The following is a 25669-nucleotide window of genomic DNA, read 5'->3' on the forward strand; positions in this document are numbered from 1 at the left end:
GATTAAGACATATAGTTTTTTAATTCAAATGTTTTATAAAGTTGAGATCACTGACATGCATCCTATGTTACTCATACATACTTTTATTTACTTGTGCTTTAAGTAAAGGAATCTGAGAATTGAACTCTTGAGCTTGTATTTTGACAACAAGGATCTGTTTAAATCTTTCTCAAAGTTACATTGCATTACATTTAAACTAAAAACAAAAGGAAAACAAGACACATTAGCTTGGTTTTTTAAAAAAGCAATGTTCTTGTTTTATCTTTCAGCCCCAGAACTTGCCAGTCAAGATGAAAAACTTCTTCTAATGGAATCCAGCTTGAAAGCTACTCAAGAGCAGCTAACTGAGCAAATAGCAGAAACAGTTCGCCAAGAACAGAACAGTAGAAAACCCCAGGCAGAGCTGAAGACAGTGACAGAAGGGATTATTGCTTCTGAAGAAGAAAAAAAATGATTACAAGTGAGTTGTTTTTTAGTATTTCAGAAAGTTTTACTTTACATACTGAGATCAAGTCAGTCCTTTTGACTTTAGTTGCTAAATGTTTAACTCTCTCTGTCTTACAAAAGTTGTGAGTATATATGCTAGCTTGCATAATATATTATTGGCTCCAAAATATGATACAGACTTATCTAAAATGGCACATGTTAAAAATTGTAACAGTTCTATTACAGATTCTAAATAATGATGTCGTTGTCAACTTTGTTATTAACTGTCAAGAAATGTTCAAGGTAGATGTACAAGAGAAAGAATACACTGTGTTTCTGTAGCACCTATCTGCCAATGGCATTCTCATCTTTCTCCTTTTGGAGTCCAAAGGTTACATATGGCTCTTGTTGGCTTTCTTTTTTGTAAAAGTAGCTGCTCTAAGCAAGACACTATTAAACTGAGAGACGTTTAGAGTAGACTTTTTGGTCAGACCATTAAGGCATGTAAGAAACTGTGAAGAAAGCAATAAAAATCTATGCTAATTTTGAAACATTCATGGAAACTATTCTTAGTGAAACATCTTCTAGTATTGAATATCTGCTTTGATCATCTAGGTATTTATGTAATGATCATACCTAATACAATGCTTTTAAATTTTATTATTTTTCAAATAAATGTTAGAGAATTTCCATTTTGAGTGTTGTCATTAAATCTTCTATCCTTTCTGTCCTTTTCTTGGTTTTCTTAGTCTGCTATTATAAATAATAATGAAAGTAACATAGTCAACATGAATACCTACATCGGCCCCACTCTGTCTTTCTCTTTTACTCTATTTGTCAAGAATTACACTTTGCTCATTGAACTTTGGTTAAATTGAGTAATCACAGTCAGGAAAAGCACACATAACTAAACTTTTTTTTTCTCCTGTCACTCATACCTTTGAACACAGTCCGGAGGCCAGAACTAAAATGCGCATTTGCTATTAACTGATCTTTGGAAATCAAATTTTAAACTTACATGGCTTACAGAATATCTTGATATTGTCTATCAATATCATTTCAATATATTATGAATGTTTAAGTAACCTTGTGATTTATAATTTATGAAACTCTGTTGAAATATATTTTTAAATCTGACCAATTTATTTCTGTTTTTTAATACAAACTTTTAATATTACAGGCATTTAAAATAATTCTACAATCTAGATTGACACTTTACATGCTTCTAAATAAAGATAAACACTCAGATAAACTGTTTGCTCTTCATGTACCTTTAGCCAGATGCCTTACTTCAGATAACAAAAAGCTACCTTTAGCAAATATTAAAAGTAGAAATTCACATTAAGAATTAAAAGCATATCGGGCGAAGTTTCTTAGTGAATTACTAAGGTAATGTACTACTGTTATAAATATTATGATTTTTAAAAATAGCTAAATTATACTGGGGAATTATATGCTTATGATATAGAGAACAAGAAATATATAAAAATGATTACAAACATCTGAAGCTAATGACAGTGTTTGATGTTAAGTTAATGTTATAAAATAATGACACTTTTTAAAATTAGGTGTCAATATAAAGGCACATTTTTAGTACACTCACAAAAATTTTTATTTTTGATCTGGAAACTGGCATGTAATGACCTGCTTCTAGGATTTGATTTTATAAGAAAATCATGCTGTGATTCATCCAGTTAAAATACACTGAGTGATCAAACTTCAGCTGTATGTGCTTTATCTGTACTTATCTATTTTATTTTCCAGTACTGCTTGAGTATGAAATTAAGTAGGATATTCTTTTTCAATGTGAAAGCACTGGTGAGGTATACAAATATCAGCTACAATTTAAGAAGGGTAGAATTACAACAGTATTTTAAATTCTATTTGCAACAGTTTAACGAATATCTCAAAAGTCATAAATTATGAATATTAATATGCCCTGTTATCAGAAAATGTTACTGATTGTTAAATAGACTGAAAAATGATCATAATCAAAATGATGATTTCTTTGGAGAAACAAGATCACTTTTCCTTTAAAAAATAGCCTTAATATCATATTGTTGTAGGATATGCCTACATGTGAGACGTGTGTATCTAGACATGAAAAAATATGTTACAGTGTAAATGTGAAACAAAATCAAATCCTTTCTGGCCTAAAAATGACTTCCTTTTGTTTATTTTTCTCCTCTGAATAAGCAAGTGGCATTAAATTGATCAAATTAACCAAATGATTTGGTATTGGGCAGTGCCGGACACTGTGGTGTTCACCAGTCAGTAAAAAGACAAGCCAGGTATCATAAGACGTTAAAGCATTATAGTTATTTCCCTCAACCAATCCTCCCTTATTTGGCAAAGGCTGGAGTTTGACGAAGTGATGCAGGGTGTTATGTATAAAGCACAAAGGTATGGTCAAAGACTTGAGTAGTTTCTAGGGTTTGCAATGACAGTAGAATTTTGCTGCAGAGATAAGAGGATCTCAATAGAAAACAACACTCTGGGGCATTTTTTTTCAAATACAAGAAACACTTTTATGAAATTTTGTTTTTTTATTTAAGCAAAAAATAATAGAAAAACTGAAATGATTTTTTAAAATGTGTTGGAATTAGTCATAAAAATAAGAAGTAGAATTTGTATTTTAAGGGATCTACTATAATTTAAAATATATGCAGGTTTCTACACATTTCTTCCTAATAATGGTAATGCATCTTAGGAATTTTTTTGGACAAATAATTACCTCAAAATAATTTCCTTCATTCATTGACTTTGCAGTAGTCATTCAGAAACACCCAGGTTTCTATACCACCAACATCTATTACTAGGCTGTAATTTCTTAACTAAATATAAAAGTTTAAAAAGAAACATGTAAAAAATAATTGGTAATCAAAAGGAAGACTTTTTAGTTATTAAAATGTGACCCTCAAGTTTTTTAATCCATAAAGTTGAATTTTGAAGAACACATCGGATTTAGGTTTTATTTTTCCCTCCGCTTTTTGAACTAAATGTAGAGAACACACACCATACACTCAGTATAAGCCTGTTACACTTGAAAGATTTGTTCTGAATGTCCAGTGGGAACCTGGAAATCGTAATAATTTGTAGTATCGATTGAGTGAAGCTATGCAGCTGGGGCCTCCAGTGAATAGACAGGAATAGACATTTTATTGATTAACTTTTACAGTCATATTTTCAAGACTCCGCTGCAACATAATTTTCACTTCCAAGCTTTGTGTTGCTGCATCATGAAACTTGGATTCTTCTCCTTTAACATTTACCCACTTGAGGAAAAAAGTATGGACATGTCTCGCCAGGGCTGTATTCTGCAGAGGTGTGTAACTTTCCGGGAAATGATTTTTCTCAAGTGATACTCTACCACAAATAGTAAAAAGAAACTATCTGGTTATAACAGTTTTGGAAATATCATTATGGCAGCTATTTGGTAATTAAACTTCTTCATATTTTTCTCATTCTTTTCTTGCTTAAGAATCTTAATTTTTATACTTCGAATTCATGCATGTAACCATCAAAATGAATTATTTTGTGCTGGCTTTGTTTTTAAGCATTTATATGTTATATCTTATTTAATATGAGCAGTAGGAGAAAAATTATGATTATAATAGTCTATAATTTAGTATGGAATGAAAACTGTTAAGTACTAAATCATTTTGGCCAACATTTCAAAGTATAAAAATGTGAATATATACATATTGAACATATGTGGTATTTCTATAGTTCAGTGAAAATTTTATTTACCTAAGCAAAGTATGTGGCATTTGCACAGATAAACATATTGCAAATATTTTGTGTATAATCATGTTTATTTATCTCAAGTTCTTTACTACTTTGCATTTTTGGTCACTAGAACAAATGGCAGATTTTTATACCTATGTATGTGGAAAAGATTTCATATAAGAGCTGGTGACAAATAGTTAGACGTTAAATTAGGTTTGAAAATGGAATGTTTTAAAATATTACATCAATTCCTTTTTAAAAGCTCATCTCTCTGAATATCTTATATTTCTGACTTTGAAAAGTCTAGCAGCTTCATATTACTACACAAGTCCAGAAGATATAAAATACAATTAAATTACACCAAATTTAGCAATAATTTTTAACAGTTAAGTAAGATAATTTATATTGTATAATGTTTTTACTTGATTTAGGTAATTTTAAGAGTTTATTTTTATTTAAGATTGATAATTAAAGTAGAATTTTGATTCTAAAATTTGTATGTAATTTAAAAAGTATTCAAAGCATTTTCAGCTGGTAATTTACTGCTCATTTAATTGAAAACGATAGATTGAGTAAAATATTCTTTCTTATTAGTAAAAGTGTGAAACTGATATATCTTCTCATTTCATTGAATAATTTTTAGAATACTTAATACATTTGTAGTTGGTTGTGTACATATTTTCAAGATACAACTATTGAGAATGTACTGTGATTTTCCATCCATAGAGCTTTAATTTATTGTATAATAAGTATTATCAGCACCTTTATGTACAATCAATATGTAAAGACAGTGGTTGTTGAAGTTCCACAGCACTATAATTAATGGAGCACATTGATGTGTTGCAAAATTAGTTACTTGCATATACGTAAATATGTTTTTTGCCCTAATGGAATACATATTTTTAAATAAAACAAAAATGGTTGAAAAAATATTTAGGAATTGATTATTTCCTTATTCACATTAAAAAATGAATCAAATAATATAGGTTATTTTCATAACTTGTGTGGCTTTTTAATAGAAGATTCTTACCTGCGTAATGAAGTATGTTTTGAACTTATGAGAATAAGAAACACAATTAAGACAGATCAAATAATAAGCATAAAATACAAAAGCCTGAATTGAGATTGATTTCAGCGTAACACTGTAGAGGAATCCCCACTTATTGATCAATTTTAAAGCCCATGCATAGCACTTAGAAAGATAAAGTAAGCAAGGTCAGATAATCAAAGCATTTAAATAGTAAAAACAGCAACTGCCACTGTAGACTGCTAAAATAAATCCATAATACAAATTGCTTTAGCAAAAAGTGGATGAGCAGCTGATCTTCCTATTGAACTCTGATACTGTTCAGTGACCACACTGGGAAAAGGATTGGGAGAAATGCCTTCAAGATCAATATTGAGTGAGATGTAGCAGGGATTCATTTTGAACATGCAAGCATTACAGGTGTGAGAGTATAGACATCTTCAGGAGATGTCATCAGGTGGAGATTGTTTAATGCAGCTAAAAAGTGCTGTCTATGCATGATACTGCCAAACAACAGTAGTAGAAATGCTTTCTTAATGATTTCAGTAAATTGTTGAATTGGGTTTAAGACAGGCCTAGCATAAGAAAGTTTACTTTATATTAAAATAGTAATACAAATACTTACCAAAATAAATTAGTATCTCTCCATCAATATATTTTACACAAACTTATATCACTAATAGCTGTTTAGGATATCAAATAATTATGTGATGGTAGTCTCTGCAAAAGCATAAAAATTAATTATAAAACAGGGGATGGAAAGACCACTTTTTGGAATGTTATAGGAAGGGAATACACTTTTGTTGTGACTCCTTTTTAAAACTTGTTGGAATTTGGGGAGTTCTATTCTTAATGAAAGCATTTGAATTCTACTGGCTCACTTTATATTCTTGGCTTTAGTGAACTCCAGTGGGAGTTTTCAGTATATAGATCTATGACCAGCAGAATTAGTTTTAACATTTTTAACTTCTTTTCTTATAAATTTTGAATTTAACTTCTTCTACTTAATGAGACATCTTCATGACTATAATGAAGTTTTGTGGGAAACAACATAATTTCACATAAATACATGTAGTTTTATTATATTATATTTTAGAACAAATTGATTCTTCAGACAAGATAGACAATATTGTGATTTAATTACTCCTTACCTTTTTTCAAGGTGCCATAGGGTGTCATCTTTATGTCATTATCTGTTTTCATAGTTTCTAAATTCATCTACATACTAATTAAACAAACAGCATTGTGTCTTGACAAGAGGATTTTCCAAACATACATTTCCGATGGAATATAACCATAGTCTCCTGGTAATTTAAGTCTTTACAATATTACTGATTGGGAGATTTTACTTTATTTACAAAAATGTCTCCAAGTTTAACTTCTTAATTAAATGACCTAATTTAAAACGTTGAATTATTGTAATGTGTTTCCTTCTAGACCAGGGAAGAAAGAAGCAAAATGGAGATTGGTTACATTTAAGATAGAATTTCTTTAGCAAAAGAAAATACAAAAATCAGGATTGGGGCTTAAAAGCTGTATAATCTGGCCTGGTGCAGTGGCTCACTCCTGTAATCCCAGCACTTTGGGAGGCCGAGGCGGGCGGATCACGAGGTCAGGAGATCGAGACCATCCTGGCTGACACAGTGAAACCCTGTCTCTACTAAAAATACAAAAAATTGGCAGGGCGTGGTGGTGCGCACCTGTAGTCCCAGCTACTTGGGAGGCTGAAGCAGGAGAATCACTTGAACCTGGGAAGCAGAGGTTGCAGTGAGCCGAGATCATGCCACTGCACTCTAGCTTCCAGCCTGGGCGACAGAGTGAGACTCCTCTGTCTCAAAAAAAAAAAAAAAAAAAAGAAAGAAAGAAAAAAAGTTGTATAACTTAGGCTTAGTTTTCTCCATCCCCTTCTTACCGTAATGAATAGTTATTTACAACTATTGTAGTCTCCATGTTTACTGCATGAAATGCTGATAGCAGCGATTTTAATGGTAAAATTGTGAAACAATATTCATAGTTGTCAGAAAAAGGTCATTCCATTTGCATTCATTAGAAACCTGGAGGACCGTGCAGTGTGTGTTTCCTTTGGGATGGTGCAGCTATTGATTTATATACAGCTGGAGGAAAAATTAATTAGGATTATATTTCACTTATTACTGCAGGCTGTGTAATAAGAAAGAAAAACACTTTTTGTTAAAAAGTTGAACAGAAAATACCTATATGGAATCATTGTTTCTTAAATCACAACTACTTCATCATATATTTTTTTATAACCTAGTTAAAGGCTTAGCATTTGTGGCAATTTAATTAGCACCTTGAAAAATAAGTATTTTAGTACATATCCTATAATAATAATGATAATTTAAATTACGCAAAAAAGACATTTTCCCCTTGTTAATTGAAACTTTCCCTTCTCTAAACTAAGTCATGTGTATTTGTCTACTGTGAGTTTGCAGGCTTAGGAGGCTTTTTGCCAAAAGAGTTAAATAAAAAAAACAAAACAGAGACCAGAATCAGGCGAATTATCAGGGTGAAGAAACAGATCCCAGAAATGAGAGTTTTAGATCTAAATATATATTTGGCTTCATATATATTTGACTTCTTTCTATGAACATCATCTATACTTTCTATATGTGACACATGTTTGAGTTTAATCAAATGGTAGCCACTTTTAATTAACAACAGAGAATAATTTCAAAATGGGGCAGTCAGATGATAAAAGGTAGTTTTCGTTCAAGACATACTTTATGAATGGAAACACCTGCCTATTGTGATATTTCTAACATGAAAATTCTATAACCTCTCCTATTGTCTTTTAGATGTGTAGCATTTAAGAGAAACCTACTGCCTGGCCAGTGGTGAGCAATAAACTGTCGAATCAGCATTTAGGGGAAATACAATATCCAACAGAGGTCTTTTGATGCCACTATAATAATCTAAAAGTAAAGTGTATAAACTCATTACTACTATTAGAAGTTCATAGGCTTTATGAAAAGAGCTTATGAAAGGTCATCAAGAAAACAGTATAAATCCGGGTTGCTAGTATATTTTATAGATTAAACATTATCTAGGAAATAATGGCTAGGATTGAAAAATACAATACGCCCCTCTCCGAACTTTTAAATAGTTTTTCTCAACTATGACCATAAAAATCTATTTCTTGGCTGGGCACAGTGGCTCATGCCTGTAATCTCAGCAATTTGGGATGCTGAGGTGGGTGGATCACCTGAGATTAGGAGTTCAAGACCAGCCTGACCAATATGGTGAAACCCTGTCTCTACTAAAAAATACAAAAATTAGCTGGGTGTGGTGGCATGAACCTGTAATCCCAGCTACTTGGGAGGATGAGGCAGGAGAATTGCTTGAACCTTGGAGGCGGAAGTTGCAGTGAGTCGAGATCATGCCACTGCACTCCAGCTTCAGTGACAGAGTGAGACTTTGTCTCAAAAAGAAAAAAAAAAAGCCTATTTCTCAATATACCTAATGGAATATAAATTTAGTGAACATTTTTTCCTTTTCATCTCTTTTTCAAATACTTGGAGCTCTTTCAAGAGAAAGGAGTGTTTACCTTGAGTAATTTGGGACTTTGCTTTCTAGAGTGATTCATGATATTTTCCATGTTGGCACATTTTGTATTCGTTTGCAAAAATCATATGAGATAATTATAGGAGATTCATTGCAAGCCCTTAGCCTTTGTAGTGAATCTAGCTTTTTCAGCTTGTTTTTGGGGTAATGCTATGTGCTAAATTAATTAGATAACTAAGAATTATATAAAATCATGGAAGTACAAGGCTAAAATTTTGAATTACTTTCTTCACTAAAACAAAATGACCAGATCTATATTTCTTAGGAAAATTTATTAATCAAGCTGTATATTGGTTCACAATTTATTGAAAAGGTAGTATTTTAAAGATATTGTTTTCATAGGTTGTGAGAAACACAAAAGATAACTCAGATATGGTTCTTCACCATGAAGTGCTCATAAACTAGTAGGGAAAATTTCATGGAAAAAGGTGTTCACAAAACTGGATAATATGTAATATGTTACTTAAGCATAAAAGAAAATCATGTATAAAACAACGAGTGACATCTTCCTTTCAGAATGGTTATTAAAGAAGAAATAATTGGGAATTATGTTTTCAAAATGGGTAAATATTTGACAGAGTATTTTTCATGGACAGAAGGCTAAAGAGCAAAATCACAATGATGAGAAAGTACATGTTTTTTTGCTCTAGAAAATGGTAAATCATTTCCTAGAGAATATTTAAATGACTAGACAGGCAAGTTGAAACCACAATTGGGGGAGTCTTCTATACTAGATTTAGGAATTTACAATTTGCTTAGATGTAATAGAGAGATTATGAAGAGTCATTAGCAGGGAAGCATATATGATCATAGTAATGGCAGAGAAGGAATAGTCTTACTTTCTCTTTTCCCTGAACACTTCACCTGGCTTTTTCCCAATCATTCTTAGAAATTGACTTTTAGTTTAGCTCCCACCTATGCCTGCCTCCTCACCCATTCCAGAATGAACTATTATCTCACATACTCTGTGCTTGCATGGCACCAAATGAATGCTCTATTATATAGTGTGCATCCCACCTTACTATGCCTAGTGGTGTAATAATAAAGCCCATTTCCCCCACTGCATGGGTTCACGTTCATTGTTATCTTCCTGAACCATTGTAGGCACTGACATCTTTTCTTAGAGGTTAGATTAGTAGCGTATGAAGAGAATGAATTTAGCTCTGTGTCTGGTCCAATCTGTTTCTCTTCACTGTAAAACATGCTGAAATGCTGGCCTGACCCCTAGCATCTTTTGAGAATAATTTCAGACAATGCATCTATGAGTGGGAGAAATGGATTGGGTAAATGGAAGCTTTATTGAGGTAACCAGACATGCTAGATGGCAAAAAATTCTGAAATAAGTGTGCTGACAATTTTGTTTTGAGTATTTGGTGGGAGAAAAAAAGGAAGACAGATAGAGTATAGTAGTAAATTAAAAGGTGTGAGATCTCAAAAATCTTTTGAGATTTATTGCATGGCATGGTGACTATAGTTAGTTATAATGTATTACACTTTCTAAATTGCTAAGAGAGTAAATTTCAAATGTTCTTACCACAAAAATGATAAATATTTGAGGTAATAGATATGCTAATTAGATTGATTTAGTCATTCCACATTGTATACATATATTATAACAACACTTTGTACTCCATAATGCATACAATACAAAAAGGGGTGAGAGAAGACTAGGTCCTTATGCAACGTAGACTTGAACTTGAGGATATACAGAAAATAAAGAGCCAGTGGGCATGGATGATACAAGAAATAAACTAGGTAATTGATAGAGCAAGATATTAAAAGATGTAGCAGATATGTATGACATGTAAAGACATACTTAGAGGGATCTCCTTTACATTTGAGAACAGGCAAGCGTGGGTGATAGGGATGTAGGAAAAACTTGAGGGCATCTCAGGAAAATGAGAATGTCATTTGAAATAAAATCTTCTAATAAAACTAGTAAGATAGGGATTTGGAGTACTTTGAGCAGGATTGTGAAAAACTGGTAAAACTATTGAGGGAAGATGAGAAGGCAGCATTACTAAGTTGTGCTTAAGGAAATTTACATTCTCAATATGTTGAGCATTTATTGGACAAAGATAACCAGGTTAAAATGAATTTGAAAATGTTAAATTCATTTAACAACTATTTATTTAGGTCCTACTATGTGCCTAATGCTGATCTAACCCCTATGCAGGAACATCAAATAAAACAACAAAGTTCCTGCCCTCAAGGAGGTTATATCCTAGTGGGCAGTCAGATAAAAAATATATGAAAAATATGTTAAATTTAAATATATAAATCATATATTGTGTTATATAAATTATATGTATTATACTTAAATTATATATACACACATATATATTAGACAGTATAGGCTATATCTTTCATGGATTTTATCATTTTTTCTTTATATTAAAAGAGACTTGGCTATCAAAAATGTGAAAGCACTTGGATGGCGCAGCTTTCTCCAGTTCTGAGAACATTTTTTGTTCAGGAATCTATTATCTTTTTATGATTTGCCTGCTTTCTGAAGACTGGAGAAGGGGACATTTTAAGGGCTGTGATAAAAACTCTGGGAACTTTATAACAATGAATACAAGGCTAGTAGAATACATGTCCAAACTACAGTTGCACTTTTCCTTTCAGACACCTTACATTCTTTCTCTTCTTTTAATTTTGAGATTTGTCCTGGATCTTTTCTTTTGGCCTTCCTCTTGACTCTTGATCACATTGACAGCTTCACTTACAGGAATGACTGAAGTGGGAGAGTCATTGAGCTATCTAATATAGGCACCAAAGATCCTCTCCCTCCCATGTTTGTTCTGCTCCTGGAAAAGTTAAATTAATCCAATTTATATGTTAAAATTATTCTATCCTTTATCATGGTTGCCGCTAAATCTCTCTACTTTCCTGGAATCATGAAGCTGAGTTAGTGTCTCTTGCACTGTCATGCCATCTGGGCATCTTCCTTTCACTTTATTCCAATAACACTTAGCAGAGGTGGATTCAAACTAGTGGTGACTTCCAGACATCTGGGCTATTCTTGATTTTAATTAAGGTAAAAGGGGAGCCCAGGCTGATGTAGCATAATTAACTGGACAACATCTCAAAAGAACTTGGAAGTATACACTCAGAGACCAATTAATTTAATTTTCTAAAGAAAAACATGTTTAAAAGAATAAAGCAAGTACAAATACAGACCCAAGAGAGGCTTTAGACTTAAATATCACAGTTCACAGTAAAGATTGTTGCTATGACATGTTGCCTTACCCATCTACCTAATTGAAGTCATGTTTTTATTTGCTAATATACCAACTGCTGATGGAGAAATTTGTTTCTGTTTGTTTGAGTTTGCTTTCTCCTCCTCACTCTAGAGCCTGATGTGTCCTTTTTTATGACCTTGGAAATGTTCCCAATTTCATCCAATCATTCACTTAATTGAACATTATCTGATTACCTCCCCACCTGGGCAGGAGACCTCCAAACACTGTAAATATTCATATGCTTCAAATGTAAGTGAAGGTCAAACTCATACATAACTGAACACCTTTATCCAGAGCATCACAGATGTCTCATTTCTACAAAATATATGTTGGAAGCTACAAATATGAATGAATGAACTCTCCACAGCTTACTGCCATGTAAACTTGAAAGTCTTGTGATACCCAATAGCAAATCCAAGTGTGGAGACAATAAATATGTTGATGACACTTGAGTAATCAAATAATCAAATATTGTAAGAGAGGCTATATCTTACTGAAGCCTGAACTAAGGTGAAATTATTAGAAAAAGAGAGACTCTAATGAGAATTCAAAATAGCATAATAATTAAATATATGGCTTCTCATTTAGTGAGGACTCAATGTGTGCCAGGCTTTATACTGATTGTTTATTTGGAATATTAAAATGGGAAAAACTTTAAGAGGGGAGACTCATCCTGTTCCACCATGCTGACCAGATACTTCTGAGGGAACAGTGGATGCATGACCTATTTTGGAAAAAATAGGAACTCAACTGAAAGAGCCATAGAGACAAATTTAAGAGCCCAGAATAATTGTGTCAAATCATCAGCCTTAATTATTTTGGAGAAAACAAGTAGGTAGGTCTTTATATCCTTGAAGTTCAAATAGAGTTGTGCTTCCTTTATGACCTTACACAGCTGGGTTAGTTTGTTCTCTAAAGGTGTTTTTAGGTAAACTTACTTTTAGTCTCAAACTATGCACTCAAACACGAATTCGTCAGGATTTCTGGTCTAATTTCCCACTTTGGAAGCATTGTGTCAAGAAACAAAAAGAAAATTTTGAAATAAAATATCCTCTGTTGGAATAAATGGATTTCTCCTATTCATGAAGTCTCTACTGCCCTCCGACCTTCAAGATGCTTTTTGCTAGTGAGACAATCACATTAGCCTGGTGTGGCAAAAAGGAGACACTTTGGGAACACAATATTTGGCATGGAACAACTTTTAGTTTTTTCCCTGATGAGTCTGGAAGCCTAAGGCTACTTTTAAACTCAACTGTATAACTCTAGAGAAGTAAATGTGCCATGGTACTAAGCCCATTGTTAAAGGGAACTTATAGTAGTATGTAACAAATGGCCACAAAAGGAAGAGAAGGAGGAAGTAGGGCTGGAAAAAAATCAAACAAAAATGCCAACTTGTATTTCTATTGCATGTTAGCCTCCTATATCCATTGGAATTTTAGTTTGGATTATCCAAACAGAATAGGAATATATATCAATATCCTAGGCTTGCAGGAGGTCACATTGAAAATAGAGAAAGTCTGTGAACTACAAGTCTAGTGGTGGATCTGGGACTGGAATACTGATTTTCTGACTAACCTGGGGATTCTTCTAATTAGGAGTTCTATTGAATGAAATCTGAGTATTATAAAAGTGTCTTTAGAAAACGATTCTATATTTCCATTTCGCATAACTTAGTATGAATGTGAGAATTGAAGTTCAGCAGATAAGCAGCAAGAATGTAACATGCAAAGCAATTCTTACCCTCTGGTGAATATTTCATGTATGTTTTCTGTGCTTTAGGTTAAAGTAAATTTTTGCTCATGCAAGAAATAAATTTTGCTTAGGTAAAATGTAGTGTATTATTTTTCTTCCTATAATTAATAAGTGGCCTTGAGGGAACAAAATTGCTGAGTAGTATGATAAAGCACTTGTTAATGTAGATTTGTTTATCCAAAACATATTTATTTTTTTCTGAAATAAAAACCTCTTTAGCCAAATGGTAGCACATAGTTAATTTATTTTTCCCCTTTTAAATATCAGACCATGTAAATTACACTGTAACACTCAAAATTGAGCTTGGCAGGGCTCAGGAGAAATGCTGCTCTGCACAAAAGAAGCTTTTAGATAAGTAGGCTCAAATGTTCTTAGTTGGATTTGACCGCATCAGATAAATGAACAGAACACCTTACTTATATAGGAAGTAGACTAAAGATGAACAAAGTGTTCTTTTCAATAGTAATACAGGACCTATTCTTAATATCAGACCATGTAAATTATTTCAACAGCTATAGATTATACCAGTAAGCAGATCATAATGCTACAGTTACAATTTGTAAATGTGGTGATAAAAAAAGTATATTTTACTGTACATACTTGTAAACACTATGTATGGTAATCTCCACATAAAATTCAGTTTGGTTTATTAAAAATATTTAAAATTTAAATATGGAAAAACCAATTTGTTTTCTTTAAAAACCATGGAGTAACCACTCATCTAATTGAGTAACACCTCTTGATGGACTGCTGAGGCAAACAGACCTGAGTTTGAATCCTTATAAACTATTGCCACCTTGAACAAATTATTTTACTTCTAAGACTCAGCATTTTCATCTGTAATTTGGAGATAATAATGTCTTCCTTCTAGGGCTGTTAGGAGAGGGCAGACAATTCTGTAGAGGGCATGCACTCTGCCTGACATGTTGTGGTTCTCAATAATCGGTAGACACTCTCAACCTAGACAATTTTTATTGTCAGATAAAGGATGCTACAAATTTTCTAATAACAGCAACTCCACCATTATCCTCTGTATTGGGACATGATGGATACAAGATTAAACAGGTTAATATATTTGGAGAATATTGCCCTTATTTGTGCCTTGATAAATGGATATAAAGTAGTACCCGGCAACTACCAAAGGAAGATTTTTGTGGTAAGTTTCAACAGCACATGGATTATTGCCTGGCTCCGGCCCTCAAGAATACAGAGGATTTCCTCCAAAGCTCAACAGCATCATATGTGAAATATTATTAATATCTGTGGAGAAAAGAAACATTTGTTTTTGGGGGATTGCCTAGAACTATTCCCTTCAAATTTGCAGTCTCTACAAATTTAGTATTTTTCAAACTACTTTATGTATAGTTAGTTTTAACATAATCCCCGTAAGAAAAAAGAAAGTGATTAATTTGCTACTGACAAGAGTTCACATTCTTTTTGTTTTTTCTCAGAGGATGCATCTGCTTTCTATTCTGAACATGGTTCTACTTACAATCTAATTTCCCTACCCTACACTGCTCTATTCTTTTCTAAGTCTGAGTCTGCATTTTAGGCCAATCATCAATAGTACAGGAAGAGAAGACTTAGAAATTGAAGGCTACAGATATACATACTAGTCTCATTATATATATGTGTGTGTGCATGTGTGTGTGAGTGTGTGTGTATACATATATACATATGTATATCAGGATAGGTGCTTCATGTTTTTTAAGCATGCAATTCTATGGTTTAGGCTTTTCCTAATAATTTCCTGAGATAGCTATGAATTACTGTCTCCATATGAAGTGTGATATTTGTCATCTAATGACAAATGGTTGAATTATTTAAGCACTATTGTTCAAACTTTGCCCCTTTCACTTGGTCTTGGATTGTATTTTACTCAGATGCATGAATGAAGACTTTGAAGAAAAAAAAAAACTTTCAAGCTGTGTTATGTTTAACTACCCAAATGTCAATGTGAATAGTTATTAAATGAAGATCTATAATAAACGATATGCCATTTAAAGAAATATAACCTATGTTAAAACTAAATTCAAGTTAAGATTCCATCTTCATGTTAACTTAGTGAGTTTAAGTTATCTTGCAATGTTATCCTATTCCCTAGAAAACCACTAAGGATGCTATTCATATCATATTCAATAATATGTATATTCTATCATAAATTGGAGTTAGAAGGCTTGGGGAGGTTTAACTCTCGGAAGCAGCTCTATTTTTGAGGTTAGTGCATTTGGTTGAAGACTCTAGTTTCTCTTTCTTCTCTTTATAAATCAAATCTTTAATAAGGAACTTAGCAACCTATTTTTTTTTTACTGTTTAGCATAGAAAACCTTAATGAAAAGATTAGTACAAAAGATGAATCATCATACCTCAGAACAGAATCATAAACCTAAGAATTACAAAGAGCAAAATCAATTTAGACTCATTTTTAACTGATGGTTTCTGAATGTTATTTTCATCTATTGTATTTATTCTGAACATTTATCTATTATATTTCTAGAATCATTGGTAACATTTTAAATATACAACATTGAACCTACATTAACATAAGTATGTAATATGTCTTAACAAAATGCTATTGGAAACTTTCATACATCATATAACACAATCTTAATGTCAGCATCTAACAACGGAACTGAAGTTTCAGAGAGATGATTCAACTCTGCTAATGTCACATAGCTGATAAACCTCAGGTTAGAATTTTAAATCCAGGATTTCTAACTTCAAGACCAGCATTCACCCAATTCTGTTATGTTTGAATTTTACAATATTATGACATATCTCTTTATATTATACTTTATTTTTATTATGCTTTGAAGATATTGCATTTTTTAATAAATTGAAGTTTTATGGCAACGCTGGGTTGAGCAAACCTATCAGTGCCATTTTTCCAACAGCATGTGCTCAAATCATGTGTCTGGCACATTTGAGTAATCTTCACTGTATTTCAATTTTTTTATTATTATTAAATCTGTTATGGTGATCTTTGATTAGTAGTCTTAGATGTTACTATTGTAATTGTTTGGGGGCACCAGGAACCACATACATGTATGTTGGAAGACTTAGTCAACAAATGTTTAGTGGTTGGTGTTGTGACCACTACCAATCAGTGCTTTTCCTGTCCCTCTCTTATCCTTTCCAGGCTATTTTCTGAGACACAATATTATTAAAATTAGGCCTACTAATAATGCTACAATAGACCCCAAGTGTTCAACTGAAAGACAGAGTCAAATATCTCTCACTTTAAATCAAAATTTAGAAATAATTACACTTAGTGAGGAAGACATGTCAAAAGCTGAGATTGCCCAAAAGCCAGGCCTCTTGTGTCAAGTAGCTGAGTTGTGAATGCAAAAGAAAAGCTCTTCAATGAAATTAAAAGTGATATTTCAGTGAGCATATGAGTAATAAAAGAGTGAAACAGCTTCATTACTGATATAAAGAAAGTTTGAGTGGTCTGGATAGATCCAAGCAGCCACGACATTCCCTTATGCTAAAGCCTAATCCAGAGCAAGGTCCTTACTCTCTTCAGTTCTATGAAGGCTGAGAGATGTGGAAGCTGCAGAAGGAAAAGTGTGAAACTGGCAGAGATTGGTTCATGAGTTTAAGGCAGAAAGGTGTCTCCATAACATAAAAGTAAAAGGTGGGCCGGGCGCGGTGGCTCACGCCTGTAATCCCAGCACTTTGGGAGGCCGAGGCGGGCGGATCACGAGGTCAGGAGATCGAGACCATCCTGGCTAACACGGTGAAACCCCGGCTCTACTAAAAATACAAAAAAAAAAAAAATTAGCCGGGCGTGGTAGCGGGCGCCTGTAGTCCCAACTACTCGGGAGGCTGAGGCAGGAGAATGGCGTGAACCCGGGAGGCGGAGTTTGCAGTGAGCCAAGACAGCGCCACTGCACTCCAGCCTGGGCGAAAGAGCGAGACTCCGCCTCAAAAAAAAAAAAAAAGTAAAAGGTGAAGAAGCAAGTGCTGATGTAGAAGCGGCAGAAGCAAGTGCTGATGTAGAAGCGGCAGAAGCTATCCAGAAATCCAGTTAAGATCATTGACGAAGGTGGCTACACTACATAGCAGATTTTTAATGTAGATAAAACAGTCTTATATTGTAAGAAGATGCAATCTAGGACTTTCAAAGCTAGAGAGGAGAAATTAATAGCTAGCTTCAAAACTGATTCTCTTGTAAGGTGCTAATGAGCTGGGGACTCTAAGTGGAAGCCAATGCTAATTTACCAATCTGAAAATCCTAAGGCTCTTAAGAATTTTGCTCACTCTACTCTGTCTGTGCTCTAGAAATGGAACAACAAAGCCTGACTAGATAGTACGGGCATTTACAGCATGTATTTTAAGCCCATGTTTGAGAACTACTGCTTATAAAAATAAAAAGATTCTGGCCAAGTGCAGTGGCTCACGCCTGTAATTCCAGCATGGGAAGCCAAAGTTGGTGGACCACTTGAGGTCAAGAGTTTGAGACCAGCCTGGCCAACATGGTGAAACTCCATCTCTACTAAAAATACAAAAATTACCTGGGCATGGTGGCATGCGCCTGTAATCCCAGCTACACAGGAGGCTGAGGCAGGAGAATTGCTTGAACCTGGGAGGTGAAAGTTGCAGTGAGCCAAGATTGTGCCACTGTACTCCAGCCTGAGTGACAGAGTGAGACTCCATCTCAAAACAAGCAAGCATTCTTTTCAAAATATTACTGCTCCTTGACAATAAACCTGGTCACCCAAGAGCTGTGATAGAAATGTGCAAGGAGAATACTGTTGTTTTCATGCCTGCTAATACAACATCCATTCTGCAGTCTATGGATTAAGGAATAATTTAAACTTTCAATTCTTCTTATTTAAGAACTGCATTTCATGAGACTATAGCTGCCAGAGATAGGAATTTATCTGATGGATCTGGGCAAAATCAATTGAAAACCTTCAGGAAAGTATTCACCACTCTAAATGCCATTAATGATATTTATGATTCATGAAAAGAAGTCAAAATATCAACATGAACAAGAGTTTGGAAGAAGTTGATTCTAACCCTCATGGATGACTTTAATGGGTTTAAAACTTCAATACAGAAAGCAACTGCAAATGTGTTGGAAATAGCAAGAGAACTAGAATTAGGAGTGGAGCCGCAAGATATGACTGAATTGCTGTAATCTCATGATAAAATTTGAACAAATGAGGACTTGCTTCTCATGATTGAGAAAAGCAAGTGGTTTCTGAGATGAAATCCGCTCCTGGTGAAGACACTGTGAATATTGCTGAAATGACAACAAAGGATTTAGGATATTCCATAAATTTAGCTGCTAAATCAGGCAGATCTGAGAGTATTGACTTCAATTTTGAGAAAAGTTCTACTGTGGGCAAAATGATCTCAGACAGCATCATAAGCTACAGATAGACTTTTCATGAAAGGAAGAGTTCAATGATGTGGCAAACTTCATTGTCGTCATATTTTAAGTCATTGCCACTGCCACCCCAACCTTCAACAATCACCTCTCTGATCAGTCTGCAACCATTAACCTGGAGGCAAAGCCTGCTACCAGCAAAAAAAAAAAAAAAACAAAAAACAAAAAACAAACAAAAAAAAAAAAACAACAACTAAGACTCACTGAAGGCTGAGATGAAAATAAGCAATTTTTAGCAATCAAGTATTTTTAAAATTGTGATACATTCCTGTTTTATTAGACATAAATGTATGTACACTTAATATACTGAAGTATAGTGTAAACAACTTTTATAAGCATTGGGAAATCAAAACATTTATGTGACTTGCTTTTATGAAACATTTGCTTTCTTGTGATAGTCTGGACCAAACCCACAATATCTCTGGGGTATGCATGTATAAGATTTAATTGAATTTTGAAAAAAAAATAAAACTGGTATATTCTTCATTAGTCTTGGTAGTCTCTCTCAATGACTAAAACCAATTATCCGTATTGTTATTTAGCTCCCCAAGGGAAGAGACCATTGTTTTTTTTCTCTCTGTATATTCTCAGAATCTAATACAGTGTCCTGCATGATTAGGCATGGGTAACTGTTGACTCAAATGGACAGAGACAATTCTTCAAACCAAGTGTATGACAAACTTCTAATTGTTGTCCCAACAGGCATATCTAATAAGTCTAATTTTTCCAGAAATAGAAGTCCTTATTCATTCTATTTCAATTTCCTGTTTCTGTTTCATTTTAATATATCCGTTTTTTTTCTCTTTTTAAATCATCTCACCCAGGATATGCTTCAGCCAAATATATTGGGCTTACTCTAAGAAATAGTAACACGTCATGAAATTTTTCTTGTGAGTTATAATTTCATATTTCTTTCTTTACAGATAGAGGTCAAATTAAAAAATATTAATAAAGCTATAGTAAGACTTGTGACAGTCTGATAAGTAATGAAGAATGTTTATTCTTTGTCCTATATTCTATGTACTATAGTGTTGTATGTAGTAGAGTCTATGAGATGGAAAATTAGAAAACTAAATCTCAAAATAACTTTACAGAAAAAAAATCTAAGGGAATCAACTGACAAGATAATCTTTAATTTTACAAAATATATTCATTATATAAATTCCCCATAGCATTACTTTTCATTATACTCTTAAAACACTAAGAAGCTTTTAGGACAGATGAGTCTAACATTCATCTGAAGATACCATAGATCCTGATAATTATAAAATAATTCATTTCATGCATAAACTGCTAAATGTAAGTGCCTTCTACTTTGTTTGAGAAAACAGGAAGATTCTTTCTGATGGTATTTGAGGAGATTAGATTTTTCTATAAATTCAGATGAATTAGATACATTCTTAAAAGTAGCTTATTCACAACACTTTTGTCCCACAGTTGATAACCATAAAAACATAATTGCATCTGTTTATCTAAATACATATAGGAAATACATATGCTACTGAGTTGTTGACATTATCAGATAAATCATAGCATCCTAATCAAATAAAGACCAGATATATATGTTGGCAACAGCTAGGCTTCCTAAAAGACTATCTGCAAATATTTATTGACCCTTTCTATATAGCAGATACCTTTGAAGATCATAGAGGGATGTAGCAGAAAACTAAACAGGCAAAAATATTTCTGTTCCTTATGGAGCTTACATCAAACTAAAGAGATATATACAATATAAAATTATGTATTTCCACATGTGATGAATTTTGCAAGGGAAAAGCATGTTGTGTAGTAAAAGTGTATATAAAAAGAGCTTAAACTTGACTGGAGAGTCTCATTTAATTTAAAGGAAATGTTAATGATAATTCAGATTTAAAGTACAAGAAGTTTCTTCTCAAGATTTAAAGTACATGTTTCTTCAAGGGTCATCCTGAGTACTGCTAGAATGAATATTTCTTTTTTGTTTGGAAGTTATTTGAGGGATATTGTCTCACATCCCTGACAAATATTTAGATACCTGTTTTTAAAAATAAAATGCATAATATCACATGTTGGAAATTATAAAAATGACTTTCAAATCCCTCTCTTCTTTCCATAGGAAAATAAATACGAGCCTCAGCATGTCGATTCTGTACAGATTTGCAAGTGTAGACCAAGGACTATTAGCACAAATGACAAGAAATATCTAAGAAAATCTCATGAATGTTCATTAAGAAACATGGTCACATAGGTCTTCTCATCTTTTGAATAAATAAAGCATATGAAAAACTGATATGTCAGCCACACGAGTCAACAACACTCTAACCAGAAAAACTGTATATAGCCTTCGCATGTACTGATTACACAAAACAAATACTACCAAAATTTGCATGTGACTAGTATGTAAACATTTTATCGGTTTTTCTTTTCCAAATGACATAATTACATTGTATTTTGAAACCAGATTAAAGTATATTACCCATGATGGTATCTTTGCAAAAACAGTTGTCTTAAATTGGATTCTGAGATAGAGAGTTGTGTGTAGGTCTGTAGGGAGTGTTCTTGGGAAATACAGGAAGGTGGGACTGGGGAGGGGTGGGTCCAGCTAACTCCAATCTTGATGCCACAAAAGCATCAACTGATCCCTAGAGGAGCTCTGGAGATGTCTCAAATTGAGGAAAAGAGACACAGCCATTATATCTCCATGTCAGCCAGGCTTTGGCTCCTGAAAGGGGTCATAATCTTGCATGATTCCCAGTGAGGGGTCTCAAATGGGAGACGTCAGCCATTTATGAACATTCCTAGCAGCTGGAGGATGGATGCTGATCCCTACAGAGGGGATTTGGTGGAGCACTACATTGTTCTCTATAATCATACACCATTATGAAATATATAATCTAATTTAGAGGAAATTCTGTCACTTCAAATGCAAATTCATTGCACATATCAACTTTTTTTAATCTTCAAAGTGCATGTCTCATTTACTTAGATTTCTACCATAAAAAGATTTGTCTAAAAATGTTAACTATTAAACACTCTCACCTATTAGTAATAAAACAACTTAGGAAATTAATAATTAAGAAATAAAACAGATGCTAAATGGACAAAACAGATAGCATAATAACAAAAATGTAAAGGAGCAGACAATTTCATAAAGTGCTTTCACTTAATAAAATATTATTTCATTTGGTACTCAAACAAAATACAGAATTTATATAGTAATTTCCATTTTGATAATGAAGACATTGAAGCACAAGAAGATAAGGCAACTTAACCAAGGTAAGTGACAGGAACTTGAATTAAACCATCTATTTTGATATCAGATAACCATGGGAAGTAATAATTCCTTTGATACATAGTATTGAGGCAGAGGCAGGGCCAGTTGTATCAGGAGCCAAATCTCTAAGTTTCTAGGTAGTGTGTTTCAACCTGTTGAATGTGAACACATTTTTAATGAATGCATATTCAGCTTAAATGTGAAAACCATAAAATCTAAGTCTATCAATATTTTTTAAAATGTCTTAAATATCAACTAGATAATATTAAAATTTCACATTAAGGTAAGTTTGATTTTTTTCAAAATCAATAAATTTTTCAGTCCCAAATTCTTAAAGACAGTTATGTCCAGTTAGCAGTAAGTTGATTATTATCATAGACTTCAAAATGCTAACAACTACTATAAGTATCTACTAGGTAACACTGGCTGTTATAGGCATTGGAAAAACAGCGATTAAAAAAAGGAGTACCAATTTCTCTTATAGAATTTATATCCTAGTGATAAAAATAGAAATGGAGAAGCTAGCTCATGTGATTATTTGAGATGGTAGAAAGGGCTTTGAAACAGGAGTCCCCAAACCCTTCTGTCCATTACTGGCCCGTATCCTGTTAGGAACCGGGCCACACAGTAGGAGGTGAGCAGTGGGCAAGAGAGCATTACCATCTGAGCTCCACCTGCTGTCAGATCAGCAGCAGCATTAGATTCTCATAAGAGCAGGAACCCTATTGTGAACTGGGCATGCGAGGGATGTAGGTTGTGCGCCTCTTATGAGAATCTAATGCCTGATGATCTGAGGTAGAACAGTTTCATCCCCAAACCACCCCCCTCGCCAAAATTATCTTCCATGAAACTGGTTCCTGATGCCAAAAAGTTTGGGGACCCCTGCTTTGAAGGACAAAAAATGACAAAATAGAGTAGGTTGAGGAAGTGCTTTATTTTCCCTCTGAAAAGTAAATAGTTCAATTGGACCCAAGTGATGAGAATTTGCTGACCATTCAGAGTTCTAGGGGAAGAATATTCTAGACAGAACAAGCAAGTACAAATTCTTTATATGGGGATGAAGTTGATGTTCTAGGAAAGTTTGATTGAATGGTTGCAGCCTTTAATGAGAGGCTGGTGCTGGAGATGTAGCTTGGGAAGTAAACAAAGGCCAAATCAGGTTGAGTCTTGTGGACCGTTTGAGAAAAAGAGTTCGTTTTGTATTCCAATTCCAATGAGAAGCCATTGGACTTAAGCACGGAAATAATATAATTTGATAATTCTCTTTGAAATATTACTTTACTTGCTTATTGGAGACTGTGTTAAGGGAGTGCAAAACTTTTTGATGTACTGATTACGTGAAACCTAAAGTCTTTTGTCAATGATGTATTTGATTAACATTTATTTTCTGATACATTGATCAAATTTATACAAAGCAAAATAAAATTAGCATATAAACACATAAACTTATCCATTCTACCACAACTCAAATTAGAACAAAGTTAGAGTTATGAATTTTTGATTATTGTCTCTGTCTTCATTAAATGAAAACATACTCTGTGGAACTTCTACTGGAGAAGAGTTCCACATTGCCTATATCTTACGTACATGGAGTTTCATGGGAAATTTTATGGTATATTTATGGCCAATATATAAACAGGGAAAAATTGTTTGCCAAAATGTACTAATAACTTTCAAATTTCACAACAAATATTATTAACAAACTGCAAAGCACCAGGACATGTGGTGAGACTCAGATATATTAAGGTTAGTAGATTCTTGCTATTGTTTTAACTTGCAGAATTCATCTATAAATTTTATATTGCAAGATTATTCTGTAAGAATTTATGTGCTTTTAAATTTTTCATTTTGTGCACTGACATTAAGTTCTATGATTTCAAAATGCAGATTTGTTCACTTAGTATATAGTACCTACTTGAAAGATAATAGTATTCAATTAATAATTGGTAAATGAATGAAAAAAATGAATAAAATGAAAGTGTGGCCTAATGGGATAATGGTATTTTTCTTTAATCAACATATCTCAAAATCAGATTACATTTATTACATCAATCTTGTATGCTAGGCTTTAAGCCTATCTTGGAGAGATAGTGTCCATATAAGAAAGTTCATCCTCAGAGAAATTGGTATAACTATTCTGTATAAACTTGATAATTTAGATTTTGCCACATAATACACCCTTCTTTGGGGAAATTTACAGTACAATTTGGCTACGACATTTATTTTTTAATCTGTAATTCCCAAAACATAGCTCAATGAGATTATTTCTTAGTTTAACACTTTCCCACTATGATATTTTTCTTTGTTTCTCATCCATTTTCATTAGATTTTGTTCAATACTTTTTCTTGAAACGAATTTAGTTTAAATCAAAATATTTTTCCTATGTTAAAACACTATTATTCACCAGAGCTTTTGGTCAAGATATGATAAACCAACATAAGTATACTGATTTATAGAATTCCAATTAAAAACAACCTTGATATTATGGTTATTTTACATCAGTTTAAAATGTCAGATACATTTGCATTCTTTTCAGAATATTGAAAAGTGTATAGAGTTTCTTATCTTTACCTTAGAGAACTTCTTTGAGGGTCATATTGAGAAGAACACCTTTCAAAGTTAAATTTAGTAATTAATATCACACTGTACACTCTGGAGGGGTGGAGACTGCATTTTCTTGGGTTAGCAGCACACTTAATAAAAGCCAAATTATAAATATTTTAGGCTTCATAGGCCAAGAAGCAAAGTCAAGAATATTATGCAGGTTCTTGTATAACAAAAGAGAAATAGATTTTGACAATATTCTTATTGATGACACTCAAAATATAACAACAACAATAATGCATGAGTACAATTTTTTTTTGTAAGACAGGTCAACTAATGAGAATGAAGGTTTTTTGAGATGATCTTTTCATTAGCTGGGGTTCAAAGTTAGTGTTCTCTATTACCAAATGATTACAAATGTTTGTTTGTAAAAAACTTCTTAGCTTGTGGATCATGCAAAAACAGAGACTGAAACGGCATAAGCTGTGGTTTGCCACTTTCTGATACATAGGATCAAGAGCAGATAGATGCAGGTAGACCAATCTCTCATCATTACTATTGCTACATCGTACAAGTTATTGCATGTTTTATCTTTACTATTCAGTTCAAAATATTTTGTAAATTCTGATGTGATTCCTTCTTTAATCCATGGAGGTTTTTATAAAGTGTATTACTTATTTTTTAATTTTAGAATTAACTTATTATTCCGTGT

At 33.2% G+C, this 25669-nt stretch overlaps 1 long non-coding RNA gene across 1 annotated transcript; it reads left to right on the forward strand.

The window, feature by feature from the left end:
* Positions 1-377: 377 nt before the first annotated feature.
* On the forward strand, positions 378-22663 carry LOC105375909 (uncharacterized). Its single transcript, XR_001745963.2, has 3 exons — positions 378-460; positions 19984-20049; positions 21255-22663. It is a non-coding gene; the product is annotated as an uncharacterized LOC105375909 (long non-coding RNA).
* Positions 22664-25669: the final 3006 nt, after the last annotated feature.

This window comes from Homo sapiens, chromosome 8 (genome assembly GCF_000001405.40).
Source record: "Homo sapiens chromosome 8, GRCh38.p14 Primary Assembly".
NCBI lineage: Eukaryota > Metazoa > Chordata > Mammalia > Primates > Hominidae > Homo > Homo sapiens.